Source organism: Homo sapiens, chromosome 15 (assembly GCF_000001405.40).
Source record: "Homo sapiens chromosome 15, GRCh38.p14 Primary Assembly".
In the NCBI taxonomy this organism is placed as follows: Eukaryota; Metazoa; Chordata; class Mammalia; order Primates; family Hominidae; genus Homo; species Homo sapiens.
The window spans coordinates 68665715-68685380 of NC_000015.10; the positions used below are offsets into that span (position 1 = coordinate 68665715).

General features: G+C 50.0%; 1 protein-coding gene across 5 annotated transcripts in view, besides 4 other annotated features; it reads left to right on the top strand.

Annotated features, from left to right (window-relative positions):
- CORO2B (coronin 2B) overlaps positions 1–19666 on the top strand; it is a 209434-nt gene that overhangs the window by 147342 nt on the left and 42426 nt on the right. The window lies entirely within an intron of this gene.
- Positions 716–1010: a silencer, noted in NCBI's record as "tiled region #8573; K562 Repressive non-DNase unmatched - State 24:Quies". NCBI's record gives its function as "represses a minimal TATA promoter and a strong SV40 promoter by Sharpr-MPRA in K562 cells {active_cell/tissue: K562}" and the evidence as "EXISTENCE:reporter gene assay evidence [ECO:0000049][PMID:27701403]".
- Positions 3624–4123: an enhancer, noted in NCBI's record as "H3K27ac hESC enhancer chr15:68961677-68962176 (GRCh37/hg19 assembly coordinates)". NCBI's record gives its function as "activates a minimal SCP1, AML or CMV promoter by ChIP-STARR-seq in primed H9 embryonic stem cells {active_cell/tissue: H9 hESC(primed)}" and the evidence as "EXISTENCE:reporter gene assay evidence [ECO:0000049][PMID:30033119]".
- Positions 8225–8725: an enhancer, noted in NCBI's record as "H3K4me1 hESC enhancer chr15:68966278-68966778 (GRCh37/hg19 assembly coordinates)". NCBI's record gives its function as "activates a minimal SCP1, AML or CMV promoter by ChIP-STARR-seq in primed H9 embryonic stem cells {active_cell/tissue: H9 hESC(primed)}" and the evidence as "EXISTENCE:reporter gene assay evidence [ECO:0000049][PMID:30033119]".
- Positions 8300–8349: an enhancer, noted in NCBI's record as "active region_9645". NCBI's record gives its function as "activates an Ori minimal core promoter by ATAC-STARR-seq in GM12878 lymphoblastoid cells {active_cell/tissue: GM12878}" and the evidence as "EXISTENCE:reporter gene assay evidence [ECO:0000049][PMID:35858748]".

A 19666-nucleotide genomic window follows, 5' to 3' on the forward strand; every position in this document is an offset into this window, starting at 1 on the left:
TTTAAAATTATATTTGCTAATTGATGATTGTATACTAGAAAGCCATAAGTTTCTGTATGTTAATATTTTGCCATGTTACTAAATTCACAAATAGCTTATACTAATTTTCAGTGGTTTCTCTTGAGGTTTCTAGGGATACTATTTTATCATTTGCAAGTAGTGATAATTCTCCTCTTCATTTATAGCTTTTATACCTCTGGTATATCTTTCTTTTTTTAATTGCATTGGCAGGTCCTACAGGAAAATGTTAAATCATAGCAACCTCTTGTTCCTAACTTTGATGGCAATGCATCAGGTATTTACCTTTTACATATTTTGGGTTGAGAAATATTTTCCCCCCAGCATTTTATTATTAAACTTTCAAACATACTGCAAAGTTTAAATCATTTAGCAGTGAACACCACCTAGATTAATGGTATTAACAGCTTGCTGTACTTCTCAAAGCTGAGTGTCCTATTTGTTTGAGGTAGAGAAGAGGCTCGAACAGATAATTCTTTGGGAACATTCTGGGTAGCGGACATAAAACCTGGCACATGGCAAGTCAACAGATGATGCTCAGATATGCAAATACTGAAAGTGAGGCCCCAGGCAGCTAGTTCCCTTTCCAAGGTGTCACGAGGTGTCAGAAGTAGGGAAGAGCCCAGATTTAGGACATAAGGTGGGTAGGGTGATTCTCAGATGAGAGGAGGCAAAGGATGAAGGCCTCCCCCAGTCCCCAGTGTTCTGAACTCCACAGGACCCAGGGAGTGGGTGAGTGGCCTTCCAGGACACCATTCTTTCCTGACAGCTGGCGGGAATTTCCTTTCTCTTTCTTTCTGTCTACTACTCCTTCCCTGCTGGCTCCTCCTGGCAGAGCCCCAGACAAAGAAAGAGAAGTGGCCTGAGCAGGTGCTTCCCTCCTCCCCTGAATGAGCTCTTCCTGGAGAGCGAGGGTGGAGAAAGCAGGGCGGCTGTGGGCACTGGGGGTTGGGGTGTTGTGTTGGGGGATGGGCAGGGAAGGGGCCAAGGGAGTTTTGTGCCTCTCTAAGCCCATGTGCTGGACAGGGCCTTGATGTTGTCCTTTCTTATCTACACTATTGCAATCACTGCACTGAGTCCCCAAAAATGATAAAAATACACGGTTTTGTAGTCAGGCAGATTTGGGTTCAGCGAGATCAGCGTGTTCAGGGTGGTATGGCCGTAGACCAGCCAAATCTAGGCATTGCCAGAAACCTGCCGCATGCCCTTGGGTGAGATTTGGCTCTGGGCTCCTTCCTGGGCAGTGAGAGGATCTGTGGCTCAGCTGCAGCACAGGTGAGGAGCAAAGAAGACCCTCGACAAACAGGCCCTAGGCTTCCCTCTCCCCAGGCTCCCCGCTCCTGATCTCCCTTCACTCTCATGCTCCCCCACCCCTACTCTAAAAACCCCTAAGGCCTCCCTTTCTGGATGAAGTCCTGCCCCACCCTGGCTCCATGGCTTGGCCCACTCTGCCCCTTCCTGACTCACCTGCCCTCACCAGACCTTGAGCCAGCCCCGGTCTCTTCTACCTGCCTGCCCTTCTTCATGCTCCTCTCTGCACAGCTCAGGGCACCGCCTCCAGGAAGCCACCTGGAGCCATCCTGCTTCTTCCTCTGCTTTGCCAACAGACTCTCCGCTTCCTGCCATGTCCTTGCCATGTTTGAGGCAGGGGTATCGTGGTCTGTTTTCACACCTGTTCCTGCTTCTAGGCGATGGGCTCCTTGAGGCTGGGAAACACACCCATTCGTTTTTCCATTCCCAACAGCCAGAGTTCAGCCCAAATACTGGACAGGGATCTTTTCGGACAGAGAAATCTTTTGAGGCCCAGGGTGCAGATGAGTCTTGGCCAAAGCCCCACATCTGCCTGATGGCAAAGCTTTGGATTTAAAACCCTGCGTGAGGAGTGGGACGGGTGAGGCCCTGTGGATAAGCCAGGTTTGCACTGGGCCTCTCTATTCACTACCTCCCCCTTCTCAGCCTCAGTTTCCCCATCTGTGAGATGGGAGAGTGCACTGAAGATGGGCGGGGGGATGTGGAGGAATGCTGAAAGAGCTAGTTCTATGTTTTAGTGGAGGGAGTTGCTGGAAAGGAAAGAGACTTCAGACCAGTTACTTCCATCTCTGGAAATAGAATATGGGGCAGTGAAGACCATGGGCTTCGGGACCTGTAGTCCTGACCCAGCCATTTGCTAGATGAGTTATTACTCCCGAAAGCCTTGGATTTCTTATTTGTAAACGAGAGATAATAAATCCCACCTGGCAGGGTTGTCATGATGACAGTAATCACCCACACCTGTTGAACACGTACAACGGGCCAGGGACTGTTCTAAGCTCTTGAGACGCCTGGTGCCACTGAATACTCAGCAACCTTGCAGATGAGGAAACAGGTATAGCTTATACAAAGTCGCACAGCTGGGAAGTGCTGGAACTGGAATAAAATAGAGTGATGCTGGCTAAGAGTTTAGCACCATGCCTGACACACAGTGAGCCTCGGTCAGCGAGAGGGCCTAGGTCATCTGCCCCACAACGTGTTCACACTTGCAACCTGCAGGCATGGCCCAGGGCTGGGGAGGGGGGCGCTACAGGGGATCCAAGAACCTTCTGGATCATGCAGACAACACAGACAAGGTCCCTGTTCTCAGGAGTTGTGTGAGCCAGTCAGGAGACAAACAATGAACAAGGGCGCAAACAGTCGTTAAGATTACATCAGACAGTGATGGGTGCTGTGAAGAAATCCAACACAGTGATGCCGTAGAGACTTGTGATGGATATGTTAGGTAAGACAGTCCGAAGGACCTCTCTGCAAACTTGAATGGGATGGAGCCGGTCAAGTAAAGAGCATGCGGAAGAGTAGTGCCCTAGAAAGAGAGAATAGCATGTGCTGAGGCCCAGGGCGGGGAGCCCCAGGGTGGGAAGCCAATGGTAGTCAGGGGCTGGGCTACCCAGAACCTTGGAGACCACGCCAGTTTGGATTTTCTTCTAGGTGATGTGGGAAGCCATTGGAGGGTTTCAAGCTCAAGGTTAGCTCTCACTTGAGCTAAACAAAGAAATATGGTAACAACACACCCCATAGAAAGCCAAAGACAGGCCGAGCATGGTGGCTCACGCCTGTAATCCCAGCACTTTGGGAGGCCGAGGTGGGTAGATCACCTGAGGTCAGGAGTTCGAGACTAGCCTGACCAACGTGCAGAAACCCCATCTCTACTAAAAATACAAAATTAGCTGGGCGTGGTGGCATGTGCCTGTAATCCCAACTACTCGGGAGGCTGAAGCAGCAGAATTGCTTGAACCTGGGAGGCAGAGGTTGCGGTGAGCCAAGACCACACCACTGCACTCCTCCATCAGAAAGAAAGAGAGAAAGAGAGAGAGAGAGAGAGAAAGAAGGAAGGAAGGAAGGAAGGAGGGAAGGAAGGAAAGAGAAAGAAAGGAAAGAAGAAAGAAAAAGAAAAGAAAGAAAGAAAAGAAAAGAAAGAAAGGAAGCAAGCAAGCAAGCAAGCAAGCCGGAGACAGGACTCGGCCTTGAGAAGCAGGGAGCCCTGTTCACGCCCAGACCATGGCCTGTTCACTGTGCTGAGGTGAAGGCGACTTGGAGCCTTTATCTCTCAGGACACAACTGGGTGTGTGAAATCCACACGGGCATCTTGGCACCTCTGCAGTTGGGCAGATTCCCTAAAGGGAACAGGGAATCTTGCTGGCCAGGGCCAAGGTGGGAAGTGGCTGTGAAGAGTGTGGTCAGTTTTCCAGCCTGGTGGGTGGGATGTGTTCTCTGACTGAAATTGCAGTATGCTTTGCGTGAATGCATGAGTGGGCCAGGGCTAGGACAGCCAAGAAGAGCAATCTATTCCCGGGACTGACCTTGACTTTTGGCCTCACTTTCGTTGAGCTCAATGGGCAATGCTGGCTCTGAGTTAGCTGTGAGTTTCAGGAAAAAAAAATTCAACTTTCTAAAAATATCAATCCAATGGTGGGTTTTGGGCTCAACAAAGAAACCCCTGACAGTTTCCTGTTAATAAAATAAATATATTTTTCTTGGAGAAATAAACCAAATAAGAAAAAATAAATAAGGCTGGGTGTGGTGGCTCATGCCTATAATCCCAGCACTTCAGGAGGCCAAGGTGGGTGGATCACTTGAGGTCAGGACTTCGAGACCAGCCTGGCCAACATGGTGAAACCCTATCTCTACTAAAAATACAAAAATTAGCCAGGCATGATGGCGCATGCCTGTAATCCCAGCTACTCAGGAGGCTGAGGCAAGAGAATTGCTTGAACCTAGGAGACAGAGGTTGCAGTGAGCCAAGATCATGCCACTGCACTCTAGCCTGGGTGACAGAGCAAGACTCTGTCTCAGAAAAAAAAAAGGGGGGGAAAAATAAAGAAAAATTTAAAAATTTTTGAAAAATTATGTATAGATAACCAACTAGTAGAGGTCTGGATCAGAATCAAGATGGCAAAGCAGAAGTACTTAGTGGTTTGTTTTGTTTTGAGACAGGATCTGGCTTTGTTGCCCAGGCTGGAGTGCAGTGGCGTGATATTAGCTCACTGCAACCTCCACCCGCTGGGTTTAAGCTATCCTACCACCTCAGCCTCCCAAGTAGCTGGGACTTCAGGTGTGCACCACTAAGCCTGGTTAATTTTTTAATTTTTTTTGGTAGAGACAGGGTTTCACTGTGTTGTCTAGGCTGATCTCTTGAAATCCTGGGCTCAAGTGATCCTCCTGCCTCAGCCTCTCAAAGTGCTGGGATTACAGGCATGAGCCATCGCGCCCAGCCAGCAAAAATATTTAGAATCATTAGTTTCCGTAGATGGATCAGAAGTGAAAAGGGGCAATGAATGTGATAAGGAACTAATACACAGAATTAATATCTCTGATATACAAAGAGCTCTTATAAATTATTAAGAAAAAGATAAACACCAATACACCATTAGGAAATAATTGAGGACCTCATAGAATCAGAAGATTCACAAGCAAATAAATGCAAATATCTGCTAAGCAAATGAAGATATAAGCAACCTTACAAAGCATCAAAGACTTGCAAAGGAAAACAATGAGATATTTTTCATCTGAAAATAAGCAGATAAAAATATTATAATATTGGGTGCTGTCAGGGTTATAGGGAAATGGCCATTCTCTTGAGTTGCTGACAGGAGTGTAAATTAGTACAACCATTGTGAAAGGCATCTTAAAATTCATAACAAAAGCATTTTTTTAAAGTGCAGATCTATTACCTAGCATTTTCACTTACAATAATTTATCTTTTTAAAAATTCATGTGTGGAAGAATTCAGCTACTATGTTTGCCTCAGCCTTTTTAGAGTATTGGAAATTATAAAGCACTTATGGATCCAAAAGTAGGGAATTGCATAAGGTATTGTAGTACAGCCACACTGAGGAATACAACGCAGCCGTGAAAATCATGCTGTTCAAGAATGTTCAATGGCACAGGAAAAGGAACCACAACCACTCTCTCCAGCTGGGCATAAAATGGAGCTGATACTCACCACGACATAATAGGAATTATTCTTCCTCTGTATTTCCCAATTTTTCTGTTGTTGTTTTTTTTTCCTACTTTCTTAAAAAGTGAAGAGGAATCTTCTGGAATGTCAGGGACTGTGCCCACAGTTTGAGACCCAGGAAAATTGGCTCAACATCCCTGTTGGCTGTAGACCCACATATGAGCCAAAGCCTCACCCACATGGCTTACCTGCCTCAGTTTCCCATATCAAAATCTGAGATGATAATGCCTGTTCTGCCTCCCTCACAACAAATAGAAAATATAGCTGTGTTAATGTTCTGTTGTTGCATAACAAATTACCCCAAAATGTGGCTGGGTAGTTCTGGTTCAGGGTCTCATTTGGTTGCGTTAAAGCTGTCGGCCAGGGCTGCAGTCATCTGAAGGCTCGACTGGGGAATATACACTTCCAAGCTCATTCTTGCAGCTATTGGCAGGAGGCCTCACTTCCTTGCAGGCTGTTGGCCAGAGACCTCAGTCCCTCACACCTGGTCTCTCCATAGGCTAAGTGTTCTCACTCATGGCAGCTGGCCTCCTCTGAGTGGTGATCCAGGTGAGAGCAAGAGAGCCCAGGCAGAAACTGGAATCTTGTGTAACCCTGGCCACATTCTATTAGTAACACAGACCAACCCTGGTGCAATATGGGAGGGGACTACACAAGGCATGTATACTAGGAGGTGAGATTACAGGAGACCATCCCAGGGTTAAAGTGCTTAACAGGGAAAGGTGTGTTCTAAGGGGCAGTCAGGGGCTATCCATAAGCTCCCAAAGTTCTGACTGTGCCCAGCTTTTTTGGAAGCCCTTGAGAGCATGATGGGGCCCACAGGAATAGTGAACCGGGGTGAAAAGATCCCACTCCACTTGTTCGCTGAGTGCAGCATGGGGAAGATTTATATCTAAAGTAACAGCAACTATCCCTGAGCAACTTGGTAATCGGGAGGTGTGTGTGTGTGTGTGTGTGTGTGTACTTTTTTGGTGTTTTTCAAGTCATCTTCTTTGAGTATGCATAATTTTCTGGTTTTTAAAAATTTTTTGAGACAGAATCTCACTCTGTCGCCCAGGCTGGGGTGCAGTGGTACAATCATAGCTCACTGCAGCCTCAGTCTCCTGGAATCAAGTGATCCTCCCACCTCAGCCTCCCAAAGTGCTGGGATTACAGGCATGAGCCAAGTACATAGAATGTTTGTATAACAGCCGGGACATAGATGTGCACCACCATGCCTGGCTAATTTTTGTGTGTGTACAGATGGGGTCTCACTATGTTGCCCAGGCTGATCTTGAACTCCTGGACTCTAGCAATTCTCTTATCTCGGCCTTCCAAAGTGCTGGGATTACAGACGTGAGCCAAGTATAATACACATCATTTTTGAAGTTAAAACAGAAATGTCTGAGGACAGTGAATTCATCTGACTCTCAAAAGAGACTGCAAGTGATACAGTGGCTCAGCTTTGGAAGTGAAGAAATGGTGCCTCTAGAACCAGGAAGAATCCTGTTCTGGGATGGAGTGGCCTAGGGAGAGGTGGAGAGGGAGGAGATACATCAGGCAGCAAACCAGGCCCCTTAGGTTATGAGGCAGGGACCTGCCACCCCATGAGCCTGCCCCTCCCCACCCCCACCAAGTGGCCAGGGACTGCAGGTGGGATGTGAGAGCCACATAATGTGAGCTCGGCGACCTTAGAGCAGCCCCTCACATCACAGTTTGGATCAGATGCGCCTAATGGGGGGTACCAGGGTGTGGGGTATGGGTTGAAGATGAGATCAGGTGCAGGTGGATGTGAGGACATAGCAGGCAGGAGAACCCACACCCCCAGGGAAAGGGTCTACAAACAAGTTGTAGCTTACAGGGGTGGTGAATGGGGGCCACTGTGAGTGCTGGAAACCTAAGCCGGTAGGTGGGTGGTGGAAGTGCAGAGTCTGCCCTCTTCTGCCCTTCAGCAGTAACTGAAAGGGGTGTCATTTGGAATGTCAGAGTTGGAAGGAGCCTCAGAATTGATTGGGATCCATCAATCTCTTAAAGATGAGAAAGAAAGAGGAGGTCGGGCACAATGGCTCACGTCTATGATACCAGCATTTTGGAAGGCTGAGGTGGGAGGATTGCTTGAGCCCAGGAGTTCCAAACCAGCCTGGGCAACCCTGTCTCTCAAATGAAAAAAATAAAAAATTAGCCAAGCATGCCTGAGTCCGGCTACTTGGGAGGCTGAGGTAGGAGAATTGCTTGAGACTGGACAGTCGAGGCTGCAGTAAACTATGATCATGCCACTGTACTCTGGCCTGGGCACACAGAGTGAGACACTGTCTCAATAAAATAAAATTTTCTTAAAAAAGGAAAGTGTCTTGGCCGGGCTCCGTGGCACATGCCTGTAATCCCAGCACTTTAGGAGGCCAAGGCAGGCGAATCACTTAAGGTCAGGAGTTCGAGACCAGCTGGCCAACATAGTGAAACCCCGTTTCTACTAAAAATACAAAAATTAGCCAGGCGTGGTGGCATGCGCCTGTAATCCCAGCTACTCAGGAGGCTGAGGCAGGAGAATCACCTGAACGGGGGAGACAGAGTTTGCAGTGAGCCGAGATGGCGCCACTGCACTCCAGCCTGGGCAACAGAGCGAGACTCCGTCTAAAAAAAAAAAAAAAAAAAAAAAGGACAGTGTCCCGCTAAGACCCACAGCACCGTGGGTGACTAACTAGGAAAGGGACTCCAGCTCCCAAGAGCTGACAAATAAAAGAAGGGTTGACTTTTTCGGTGGACCCAGAAGCAGCAGTAGGAGCTTATGGCAAAAGTTAGAAGGAGGCGGATTTTCATCTCATTATGAAGAATTTTCTAAGTGATGGGCACAGTTGTGAGCTGGGGTTGACTGGGAGCGGGAGAGAGGCTGCGTGTGTGTCTCGGGTCCTGGTCGGCTCAGTTCCCTCCCACAGAGTCTAAGAGCTTGGATGTGGCTGAGAGTAGCGCAGCCACCGCCCTCTGCTGGTGGAATGCTGGTAGCACAGCTTTCCTGCTTGGCCACGATGCTGCCCTCTGGCTAGGCGAGGCTTTCCAGAGAAGAAGCAACCCTTTGGGGTCTGAGAGCTCCCTGCTGGGGGCTTCGGGACGGTGGGTAGTATATATTCTCTGCACACATGTGCCCGGAAGACAGACGAGGCCATCAGAATGCCCGCCAGTGTCTGTAACTCGGGACTGAAGCCAGCGAATGCCCCAGGTGATTGTGTGCCCTGGGTCTTCAGGTGACCCTGCTGCCCCTTCCTGTGAGCAAGGTCTCCAGAACTGACAGGTGGGATGGGGCACTGGCCTGGGTGTCTGCAAACCTGGGTGTGGCCTGGCACAGCCATCACCCTCTTACTCACTGGGTGACCTCAAGCAAGTGCCCTCCCCAAACTGGACTTGCACTGGCGGTGGGGTGGAAGAGTAGGGGCCCTGACCGCCAGAGAAAGGCTCGTGGGCAGTGGCTTCTCCGTGGAGCACACGCGAAGAACATCAAACTCAGCAGTGCTCCATGACCTCACCAGGCAGGGTTGGAGTAAGAGTTTGCCCTGATCCCAACTACCTTATTCCCTCTTTCTCCCTCCAGCCTTTCCACCAGTGCCCTCATGCTCTTTTCCCTCAGACCTGCCTTCAGGAATATTCTCAAAGCTTATTCAGAATGAGTCCACAGTGACCAATATTATCTCCCACTACACTCTCTTTAGGGGTATTTTTATTTTATTTTGAGAGCAGCAAGGTGGAGCACGAAAGGAATGAATCCCTAATAGTAGAACTTCAGGTATCAGTCAGCTAGAGAGTCAGAGATTCTTTTATAAGGCAAAAAGACTTAGGCAAGAAGAAAGAGGAACTCTTCCCCCTTCCTTTTGTACTGGTCAGACCACAGGCTGGAACTACAGTATTGTTCTCAGCTCCGTGAGCCACACTGAAATTGGGAAATAGAGCAGAAGGTAATCTGAAGAAGGCAGCCATGATGGCGAAAATACTTCTAGTCCAGCATGAATTGGAATGTTTGTACCCCGCTTCAGCATGCTCTGGAATTCCCCTTGCGGCAGCTGCCTCCCATTTTGCTGTCAGTCATTCATGAGGATTTCACAGTAACTTTGAGGACAGGAAACAAGCTGTGTCAATTCCCTTTCCTCGGTCAGTTCAGCCTCTGCTTGGGCCTTTGGAGCTGTCTCTTCCTCTAGCTCACCTTCCCAGGGAAAGTAAAGCCTCTGAGGGCAGGAATAGCATCTTCTAGGCAGAGGAGGGGTATCCTGTGTCTGGAAAGAAATGGGGACTTGAGGAGGTAGGAGGTGAAGTTGTAAATTCTAGTTTGAGCTTTGCCACTTAGTTGCTGCGTGATCTTGAGCAAGACCATGAACCCTTCTGAGCCTCTGTTGTCTCATCTCTGAAGTTAGGGAAATGATAACTCCTCCACAGAGGTAGTGAGACTCAAATAAGATGTTTATAGATCTATTTTTGTAAAACCAAGGTCATGGAGATCATAACAAGTTAGTACATATTTAAAGTGCTTAGAAAACATTAACACATTGTAGGTTCTCTGTAAATGTTAGCTGCAATTCCACCTCCTGGAAGAGAGAATTTATTCACTTAACAAATTTTTACTGAGCACCTTCTCTGTACCCGGCACTGTGGGAAGCACTGGGGACCCAGCAGTGAACAAAACAGACAAAAACCCCAGCCTTCATGGGGCCTACACGCTAGCGGAGGAGACAGATAATAAAGTGGATTATAGGGTATAATATAGTATAATAATAGAACAGAAATGGAATAGAATATAGAATAGAATAGAATAATGCTAGGAGGAGAAATTGATTAGGGAAGGGGACAGGGGTGTGGGCAGGTGGAGGGGTGGCTGAATTTAAATACAGTGGTCAGGGAATCTGATAGGCTCAGCTTGAGTTAGACGCTCATCCTGGCCCAATCAGCTGTGTGTTTGTGTGTGCAAGGGCACAGTGTGGGCAGATAAGGATATCTGATTGGCTCAGCTTGAATTAGATGCCCATTATGATCCAATCAGTTTAGCGTGTGTGTGCTGGCAGTGGCCCACACTTGTGGTGCTAACATGACTGCTAGCGTCCGCATCTGTGGGTGAGGGACATAGGAGTCATGATGAGCTGCACAAACCCTCCAGAGGATTCTGAATTGAAGCAGGACTTCTGCCTCCTGGCCCACCTTAGCCTTTAATTTCCGGGGGCCAATCTAGCTTCAGGTCACCTTCCTCAGCTGTCAGGACTGAGGTGCCAGAGGGTAAGGGGTCTGCAAGGATAACCACCGCTGCCTAAACCCGTCAAATGCCAGACACCTCCATACACTGTCCCTGTTCCCCTGTGACATGGGGCTGCTATTCTCAGAAAGCTGCAGAGGCAGGACTTGAACTAGAGTCCATGAGACTCTCAAGCTGGAGTGCAGGTCTCAGCCGTGTTTCCCAAGTCCTGCTGTCACCTCTGTGCTAGCATGCGCACACCGCAGCCACCTGAGGAGAGTGTTTAAAATGCTTGTTCCCAGAGGCCTTGACCTGACTCAGGAGGTCTAGAGGTGGCCCAAGATCTGTGTTTTTTGTTTCTTCTGGATTATTTTTTTTTTTAAGACAGAGTCATGCTCTGTCACCCAGGGTGGAGTACAGTGGCACCATCACGACTCACTGCAGTCTCTACTTCCTGGATCAATGGACCCTCCCACATCAGCCTCCCCAAGTAGCTGGGACCAGAGGTGTGCACCACCATGCCTGGCTAATTTTTTTTCTTTTTTTTGTAGAGACAGGTTTCACTGTGCTGCCCAGGCTGGTCTTGAACTCCTGTGTTCAAGTGATCCTCCCATTTCAGCCTCCCAAAATGCTGGGATTACAGGCATGAGCCACGGTGCCCAGTCCAAGACCTGTTTTTGCAGCACTTTCGGGACTGTGCTCCCCGCCAGGCCTGGAGCCCCGGAGGCACACCCTCCCTCTCCTCCAAGCCATCTGTCAGTGCTCCCTCTTCCTCTCCAAAGCTTGCTCCTCTGCCCTTCCTGCAAAGCTCCCAATTGAACCCCAAGCCCCATCACTATATTTGCAGGGTGCACTGCTGGTCATTCCCACTGGGCCTGAGCAGAGACTGCAAGTAAGAAAATTCCAGAACCTCAAAGGTCACCCCGCACAAAGCCCCATTGTACAGATGATACAGATGAGGCCCAGACAGGGATAGGGCTAGCTGAAGGCCACACAGCAGAGGGTGGAGCTGAGACCCTCTCCCTGTCATGCAATGGCTAAGGACAAGGGCCCCTCTCTGCCACAGAGAAAGCATTTCCTTGGGCAGCTGGGAGGCAGCTTTTCTGGGAAAGGCCAGATGGTGGCGGGGGGATGCTGAGGCTGTGCTCCAGGGGTTTTCAGGGATTTGCTTGGAGAGGCAAAGGTTACTTGGGAGCGGACCTTCAAAACCTCCATGGGCAGGAAGAAAATAGCTGTCTTTGTCATAGGCCTTGGTGACTTCGTGTTGGGAAATTGTCCACCCTGTGCCAGCCCCTGTCCATTCTGCAGATAAAACAACCCTACCAGGTTGGAGGGTTCCTCACCCACTGCCCAGCCCCATTCTGTGTGTCTCCTGCCTCCCCTCTCCTGATATGTCTGTTCCTGCCTTCACCCTCTCCTTCACCATAGCTGGGTGGCCAAGTCCCCTCTACTGTGTCAAGAACAGGTCCTGATCCCCTGGTTCAGCCAGCCACAGGCTCTCTGCAGCCATGGAAAAACATGAACGTTGGCTGGATTGAGGGTTTCCTGTTATTTCATGAAAATCTCCTGCCTCTCGGAGGCCTGGTGGGGCCCAGCCCCCTGGCCCAGGAGGCTGCCTTGCCCCTCCATAATTAACAGGAGCTCTCCTTTCCCCTGCAAGGTCTGTTGCTTCCTGACAAAGGCCTAACATGCACTTGACTTTCCCCCCAGATGACTTGTACAGCACCCGTGCCACTGGCTGCTGGCTGTTCCTACAACACTGGCGGGGTTAGGACCTTTCCCACTGAGTCTGGGAGGACAGCAGACCCAGGTCCTGTTGTCAGAGAAGGAGTCAGGCAGAACAGCCTAGCACTCCATAGTAAGAGCAGGGGGAGGAGGAGGAGGAATTCCCCAATTTCTGTGTCAGTGTGAGCCCTTTCTCCCCTCCCTCACACTGAGCCCCCAGAAGGGTGCCCCAGGCCTGTCGGGCAATAACAGAGAAAAGACAGCAGGCGGTGGTTCACACCTGTAATCCCAACACTTTGGGAGGCCGACTTGGGCAGATCACCTGAGGTCAGGAGTTCAAGACCAGCCTGGCCAACATGGTGAAACCCCATCTCTACTAAAAATACAAAAATTAGCCAGGTGAGGTGGTGGGTGCCTGTTATCCCAGCTACTCAGTGGACTGAGGCAGGAGAATCATTTGAACCCAGGAGACAGAGGTTGCAGTGAGCTGAGATTGTGCCACTGTACTCCAGCCTGGGCAAAAGAGCGAGACTCCACTTCAAAAAAGAAAAAAGAAAACAAAAGAAGGCAGCTGAGCGTGTCCAGGGATCAGCAGGTGGCATAGCCAGCACCAGGCTCAGAAGAGCTGCCCACACCATGTCCCCTGGGAGCCCCAAACTCAGGCACCACACACCCAAACTCCAGCCTTCATTGCCGGTCCTCCAGTGCTCAGATAGGGAAGAACTAGAGTAGAAAATGTAGCCCCAGGTTACTGGACAGATAGTGGATCTGGCTAGAGGCCAGGGGACCGCTGTACTCAGGGTGTGTTCCCCTCCCTGCCCCTCCAGCAGCCCAACTTGGCTTGACAGTAGGACCCAGTCCCTGACCTGGCCCTCCGAGCTGGTCAGGCAGAGTGAGGGCCTTCCCAGAAATATCACCTGCTTCTCACTCGTGGATGAGTTCAGTAGATATTTATTGAGACTCTACTATGGGCCTGGCACCGTGCTGGGTGTTGGGATACAGTAGTGACTAAAACAGACAGAATGTGGTGGAAGTGACATCCAAGGGAATCATCCCATCTTATTCATCTCTAGGTGGCCAGCTCCAGGCCCAGGGAGGGTTCTTGTCTGTGTTTGGTGAGCTGGGTGGAGATTCAACATATAACCCCAGACTGGCAGAGCTGGAAGGGCCCTGATGGTTCAGGTCCACTGTGCAGACACTTTCTGAGCACATGCACCGGGGCAGCTGGCCATGCTAGGCCTGTACAAAGATGGGTTAGACACATACCCCACCCATGGAAAGCTCACCCTTGGTGAGGGTGACAGCCATGACAGCCATTAAGCACAGTACAAAGGAGGGTCTGGTCCGAGGGGCTGTGCAGAGCACAGAGGCAGAGGGAGGAAGCTAACCTGCATTTTGCAGATGATAATAATAACTACCATTTATCGAGTGCTTCTGTGGTGCCAGGCCCCGTGCCCAGTGAGTTTGTATTTATTGGCTCATGTGGAAACTGAAGCCCTGGGAGGAAGGAACTTGCTCAGTCAGTCATTAGCGTGAGCTGAGCCAAAGTAGACCCTGACTTCTAGGGGTTCGGAGTGCAATATGTTCCTTCTCCCACTACCCCAGCCCCTGAGGATCAACCAACCTCCACAGATGCAGCAGAGAGAAAGCTTGGGATGGGGAGGGACTGGTCATCTCAGCATGGGGCTGTTCACTTACAATGTAAAGGACATTTTCAAGGCCATAGATTCCCAGGGTCATTACCTCGGAGGTGGTGCATCTCCTTCTCTGGCCCCTTACATATCCCTGATGGAGCAAGGCTGAAGTTCTGAGCCAGAGGTCCCCTGCCCTGCCCACAGATTCCATGACTTCCATGGGGACAGTGATGGCCCAGGGCTGAGTCTCTATGGTGTCTGGGCAGGGAAGATGGTGGGCACTGGGCCCCCGCAGAGTGTGCACGCTCTTGGTGGATGGCGGTTCTCTCGGTGGCTATCCCTAAGAGGCAAGGCAGAGTGGCCCAGCCTGGGAGCATGTGGATGGTGCCATGTGACTCACTCCCACTTCAATGACAACAGTATCTTTGCAGCTGGCAGCATGTGGCTGGGGGAGTCATTTGATCCTGAATATAGACTGGCATTGTGTTTGAGACCAGAGGGTGTAAGAAGCATGTCTGTACCACTGAGGTTTCATTCATGTCTCACACTCTGCTGGAAACCCTCCATGATTATCTCATTTAAGATGAAAGTGTGGATAATCTCTTGGGAGGGCAACAAACACCCGTGAAATAAAGCAAACAACGCAAGACAATGCTAAATGGAGAAGCAGGACAGTGTCATGGTTAGGCCCAGAGCACAACAGAAGGCTCTGCACCATGCAAATGGTACCCCCTTGAGTTGTGCAGTGTACAGTCCATGCAACTGTACAGGGGATCCTGATTAGGTCCACCGTCTATGGCATCATTAATTCAACACAATTTGGTGAGAGCTTACCATTTGTGTCCAGCACGATTCCAGACACTGGGGTTATAGCAGAGGACAAGACAGAGCACCACCCTGCATGGAGCTTACATTCTAATTTGAAGGTCAGAAAGACTAAGGGTTGCATCCTGGCTTTGCCGCTGTGTTAGTTAATCTCACTAAGCTTCAGTTTCCTCATCTGCAAAATGGACACAATGACCTGTACTTCGTAAGGTTATTGTGCTAAAAAATTGAAATAACACTTGGCTTCAGGTCTGACCCATGGGAAGCCCTCAGTAAATGACAGCCAGCATGATCACAAATGCTGTGGGAAGAAGGGCTTAGAAAAGCTTAGGGAAAAGGGGCCGGGCGCGGTGGCTCACGCCTGTAATACCAGCACTTTGGGAGGCTGAGGTAGGCAGATCGCCTGAGGTCAAGAGTTCTAGACCAGCCTGGCCAACATGGTGAAACCCTGTCTCTACAAAAATACAAAAATTAGCCGGGCATGATGGCAGGTGCCTGTAATCCCAGCTACTCGCGAACCTGAGGCAGGAGAATCGCTTGAACCCAGAAGGAGGAGGTTGCAGTGAGCTGAGATCGTGCCATTGCACTCTAGCCTGGGCGAGAGAGCAAGATCTCCCTCCATCTCAAAAAAAAATTTTTTTTTGGAAAGAAAAGCTGAGGGAAAAGGAAGACCACAAGATGTGAAGTGCACTAAATCGTCTCAGTGGGAGCAGGAGTTGGGGCGTCTCTTGAGGGGTGCAGAAGCCCAGAGGAGCAGGCCTTTCTAAAGACCGTGTCACAAGGAATGCAGGGAGGGGGCCAGTGAGGAGCCCCCTGATTTGGGGGCCATATTTTCCCAAACCAAGGGTTAGGACACCCATGATCTGGCAGAGAAGTTCTGTGTTTCTGTCAGAGAAGAAGTCTGGGAAAAGGTGGTCATCCAAATATTGGGATTGGGGGAGATAATCACCATTTTCATAGGACCTGAGACATCACATTTAAAATTGGGTCTGTCACACTTGAGAAGTGTGACCCCTGTAGGGTTGAGCAAACCAAAGAATAAGGTTAGAGGGCAGTTGGGGGTGGGAACAGGGTGTGCGTGCCCCTCGAGGGCCAGGCAGGTAAGTCAGATCTGATAAGACAGAGAAAGGGGAGCTGACTAAGTCAGGATTCCTGCTGCACACTGGCTGAGTGGCCCAAATCTCTGTCTCTAGGTCTCAGTTTCTGTCTCTGAAAAGCGGAGACATTGTTGAGGAGCAGAGATAACACAGATGTAGTTATCTGTTGCTAGCAACAGAAATCACCCCCAACCCCAGTCCTCTTATGCAGAAAGGGTTTAGGGGCTTCATAGATTTAAAGGGCTAGAGCTGGGACAGTGGAGAGCCAGACTTGGAACCAGATCAGCACCAAGACAGCTCCGGAGGGCCCAGTCCCAGCCCACCCTGGGTAGGAGTCTGATTGGCCAAACCCAGTCCCATGCCCCGTCCCTGGATAGCAGAGGACCCTGGGTAGGAGGAACCCCTGCTTCAGCTTTCATGGTAGGGCACTGCATCCCACCAGGACAGCCCACAGAGGGAGAGTCCTCCAAATCAGGAAGGGGGCTTGGATGCCCAACTGCCAAAAAATCCTGCAGATAGTTATGTATGCCATGGAAGATTCTGGAAGAGTTGCACAAGGAAAGTAATAATTATAGAAAGCCAATCTTGCTCTGGAGTTCGAGAAGAGACCAGCACCGTGGAGACCAATTAGAAGACTGGAGTGCCTCAGGAAGGCTATGGGCAGGGTGCACCTGGAGAGGAAGGAGCAGATGTAAAGGCGTTTGTGGGGATTAACCCATCAGAGGCCTCTGGGAATCCTCTCTGACTACAGAGAGGTACAGGGAGTCTCAGAGGCTTAGCAAGGGGCTCAGGATGTTTACAGCTGTCAGGGCTCTAAGAGATCACATGGCCGCAGATTGACATTCTCTGATCGACTGGTAGGGACTCCCTAGATGCTGTGCTGAGGACTGCTGGGCTCAGGCAGGACTCAGTGAGCGATTGGTAATGCCTGTTATAGATAGAGAAACCCCAGGAGGGGCAAGGATACCATGTTTATTATCCCTGCCCCCCAAAAATGCCTCACTTTTCGGAGGGAGAGACTGAGACCTAGAGAGACAGAGATTCAGGCCACTCAGCCAGTGTGCAGCAGAGCTGAGATGAAAACCCAGGTCCCCTGAATCCCAGAGTGCTGCCCTGCTGCTGTAGCAGTGCTTTAGTAATGCTCCCCAAATCCCAGGTGGGCTGGGCAAAAATCACAACTCAAAATGAGTTTCCTTTCACACTACAGGAGAGGTGTGTGGAATTGGGGTGTTACAGGAAGGGCACCTGGTGGGAGAGTCCTCTTTTCCCTCCTCGTTCCTTGGGCCAAATGGCGAACAGAAGGAGGGGTTTTTATAATTTTGGCAGCGGCCCATGCACACAGGAGAAGTTCTGGTGGGTCCTCTATTGAGAGGGCCCCTGGTATGGCAGAAACCCAGGCCTCTGGGCCAAAAAGCGAAGGGCAGACTTAGGAACCTGCTCCTGACCTTGACGGAGCTCCACCCGCCCAGGGTCCTCCATGCCTATATCTCTCTCTAGGCCACCCCCAGTTGGGATAGATTCCTCTAGGGAGGGGTTCCTGATGTTCAGGAAGGCCTCTGGTGGGGAGCCTGAAGGACGAAGGCCTGTTTGGGGTCCAGCCATGGGAAGATACTGAAGACCCCAGAGCTGACTCTCTTGTTGGTCCAGACCCCGCGTCCCCAGCACTCCCACCTGCTTGGAGAGCATGGCTCTGTGGCGGGGGAGGAGAAAGCCAATGCTAGTGATGACAGCCTCGAGATGGTGCAAGCACTGTCCTTTTCTTTTGATTTTCTGCCTAAACCAGAAATGTGCTTTTTCCACAATTTGCATAGATGCTGTCATGTAACTTTTTTTTGCCACTGCTCGCATTTCCAACAGTTACAGTTTTGGTGCACCACCCCTCCCCCCACTGTAGGATATTGAGACATCATGGTGGGACTGGATATTGGGAGCCTCACCTTCCCTCTGCAGTATCCCTACCCATCACATTTAAGGCCTCGAATGCTGGGAAGCAGGGATGTCACCATCTCAGGACACACCTGCCTCACCTCCCTCCCTGCAGAGCATGTTCTACCTCTCGGCAAGAGAGTGTGGCCTTGGTCAAGACCACTGTCATCATGGTGCTCACAGCCTGGTGGCAGGGATGAACCAGGAACCAAAGGTCCCTCAGTGAGGAAGGAGCATTGGAGGTGGAGGTGTATAACCATGGGCATGGCATGGGCAGTAGACTGAGGGAGAGTGTCAAGGCAGGACTGTGCTGGGATGACAACAGCTCTGATGCCTGGATAAGGAGTTTGGCTTATAAGGTCTAGATAGTAGGGACCCATTGAAGATTTTGGAGCTGGGGAGTTATTTCATCAGAGCTGCATCCTAGGAAAATTAGGCAACAGTGTGTAAGGTGGATTGGAGAGAGAACTGAAAAGAGCAGACATTACAGGGAAGGAGATAAACCAGTGGGCCCACTTCAGAAATCCTGCCAGCTCTAGAGTGAATAAAGCCTTTGACTCAAAATAGATGTCCTAGAAGTCTGCCTGAGAGTCTAAAAACCCCAGGAGATTACACTTTTGGGCCAAGCAGCTTTCTCTAAAAGGCTCCTGTCAATATGTACATAGATGACCCGCAAGGAGAAATGGACTAACCCAATGTCCCCCAGTCCTCTTTGGAAGGCTTTTGTTTACTTGATTAATTGGCCAAAGCAAGCAGGGTCCTGAAATAGGGGACATGAGACAAGTAAGTCTTGATTGGGATGGAGGGAGAGAAAGAACACAGCCAGAGGCCAGGGCAGAAAGGACCACAGGAGAGGAGCTTGTATGGCACGTACATATGTGTGTGTGTGTTCACTTGCACATGCAAGCATATACATGTGTATGTTGCGGACAGTCACTGGAAAATAGGGAACACCCTGCAGTGGAGCAGGCAGCACTTTGGATGAAGGACATCCATGTTTAGGAACATGAGACCCCCTCCCGCCCCTGCATATGCAGGGCTCTGAGCCTGCATAAACTCATTCTGGTTCTGTCACTGCCAAGTGGTGTGACCAGGGGCAAGTGTCCTTATTTAGTTTATCTGGGTAACACTAATTAAGATAATGTCTGTGCAAGTGTTGAGGGTTGTGCAAATGTGAGTTGGGGGCAAAGCCTCCTTCAGGCCCGGGAGCCTGGGACACAGGGAGCCCGATCTCTGCCCAGGACTCTGGGGGAGAAGGACTACAATACCTGTTTTATAATGACTCTCTCTCTTTTAATATCAACTTCCAGTCATAGAAGAGAGAGCCAGGAAGACTATAAGCAACCTAATCAGATGGTCTGGAATGCATGGGGCAGCACACAGTGAGGGAAAGTGATGATAGGGGTGGCCCATGAAAAAACATCTTTCATACTGAGGCTTGGGATTCCAGCAGTAAATCACCCATCTGCTGGGTTCAGCATGATCCACTGCCCTCGGTACTCCTTTACATGCTCATCACCTAATGTGACTTCTGTCTTCCTATTTGCTTTACCTGTGGTTTCTACAAATAAGCCTGTATTAAATGTGCATGATAATGTTCTTAATTTTGTTTCGGGAGACAGTCTTACTTTGTTGCCCAGGCTGGAGTGCAGGGGTGCAATCTCCGCTCACTTCAACCTCCTCCTCCTGGGTTCAAGCCATTCTCATGCCTCAGCCTCCCAAGTAGCTGGGATTACAGGCACGTGTCACCACATCCAGCTAATTT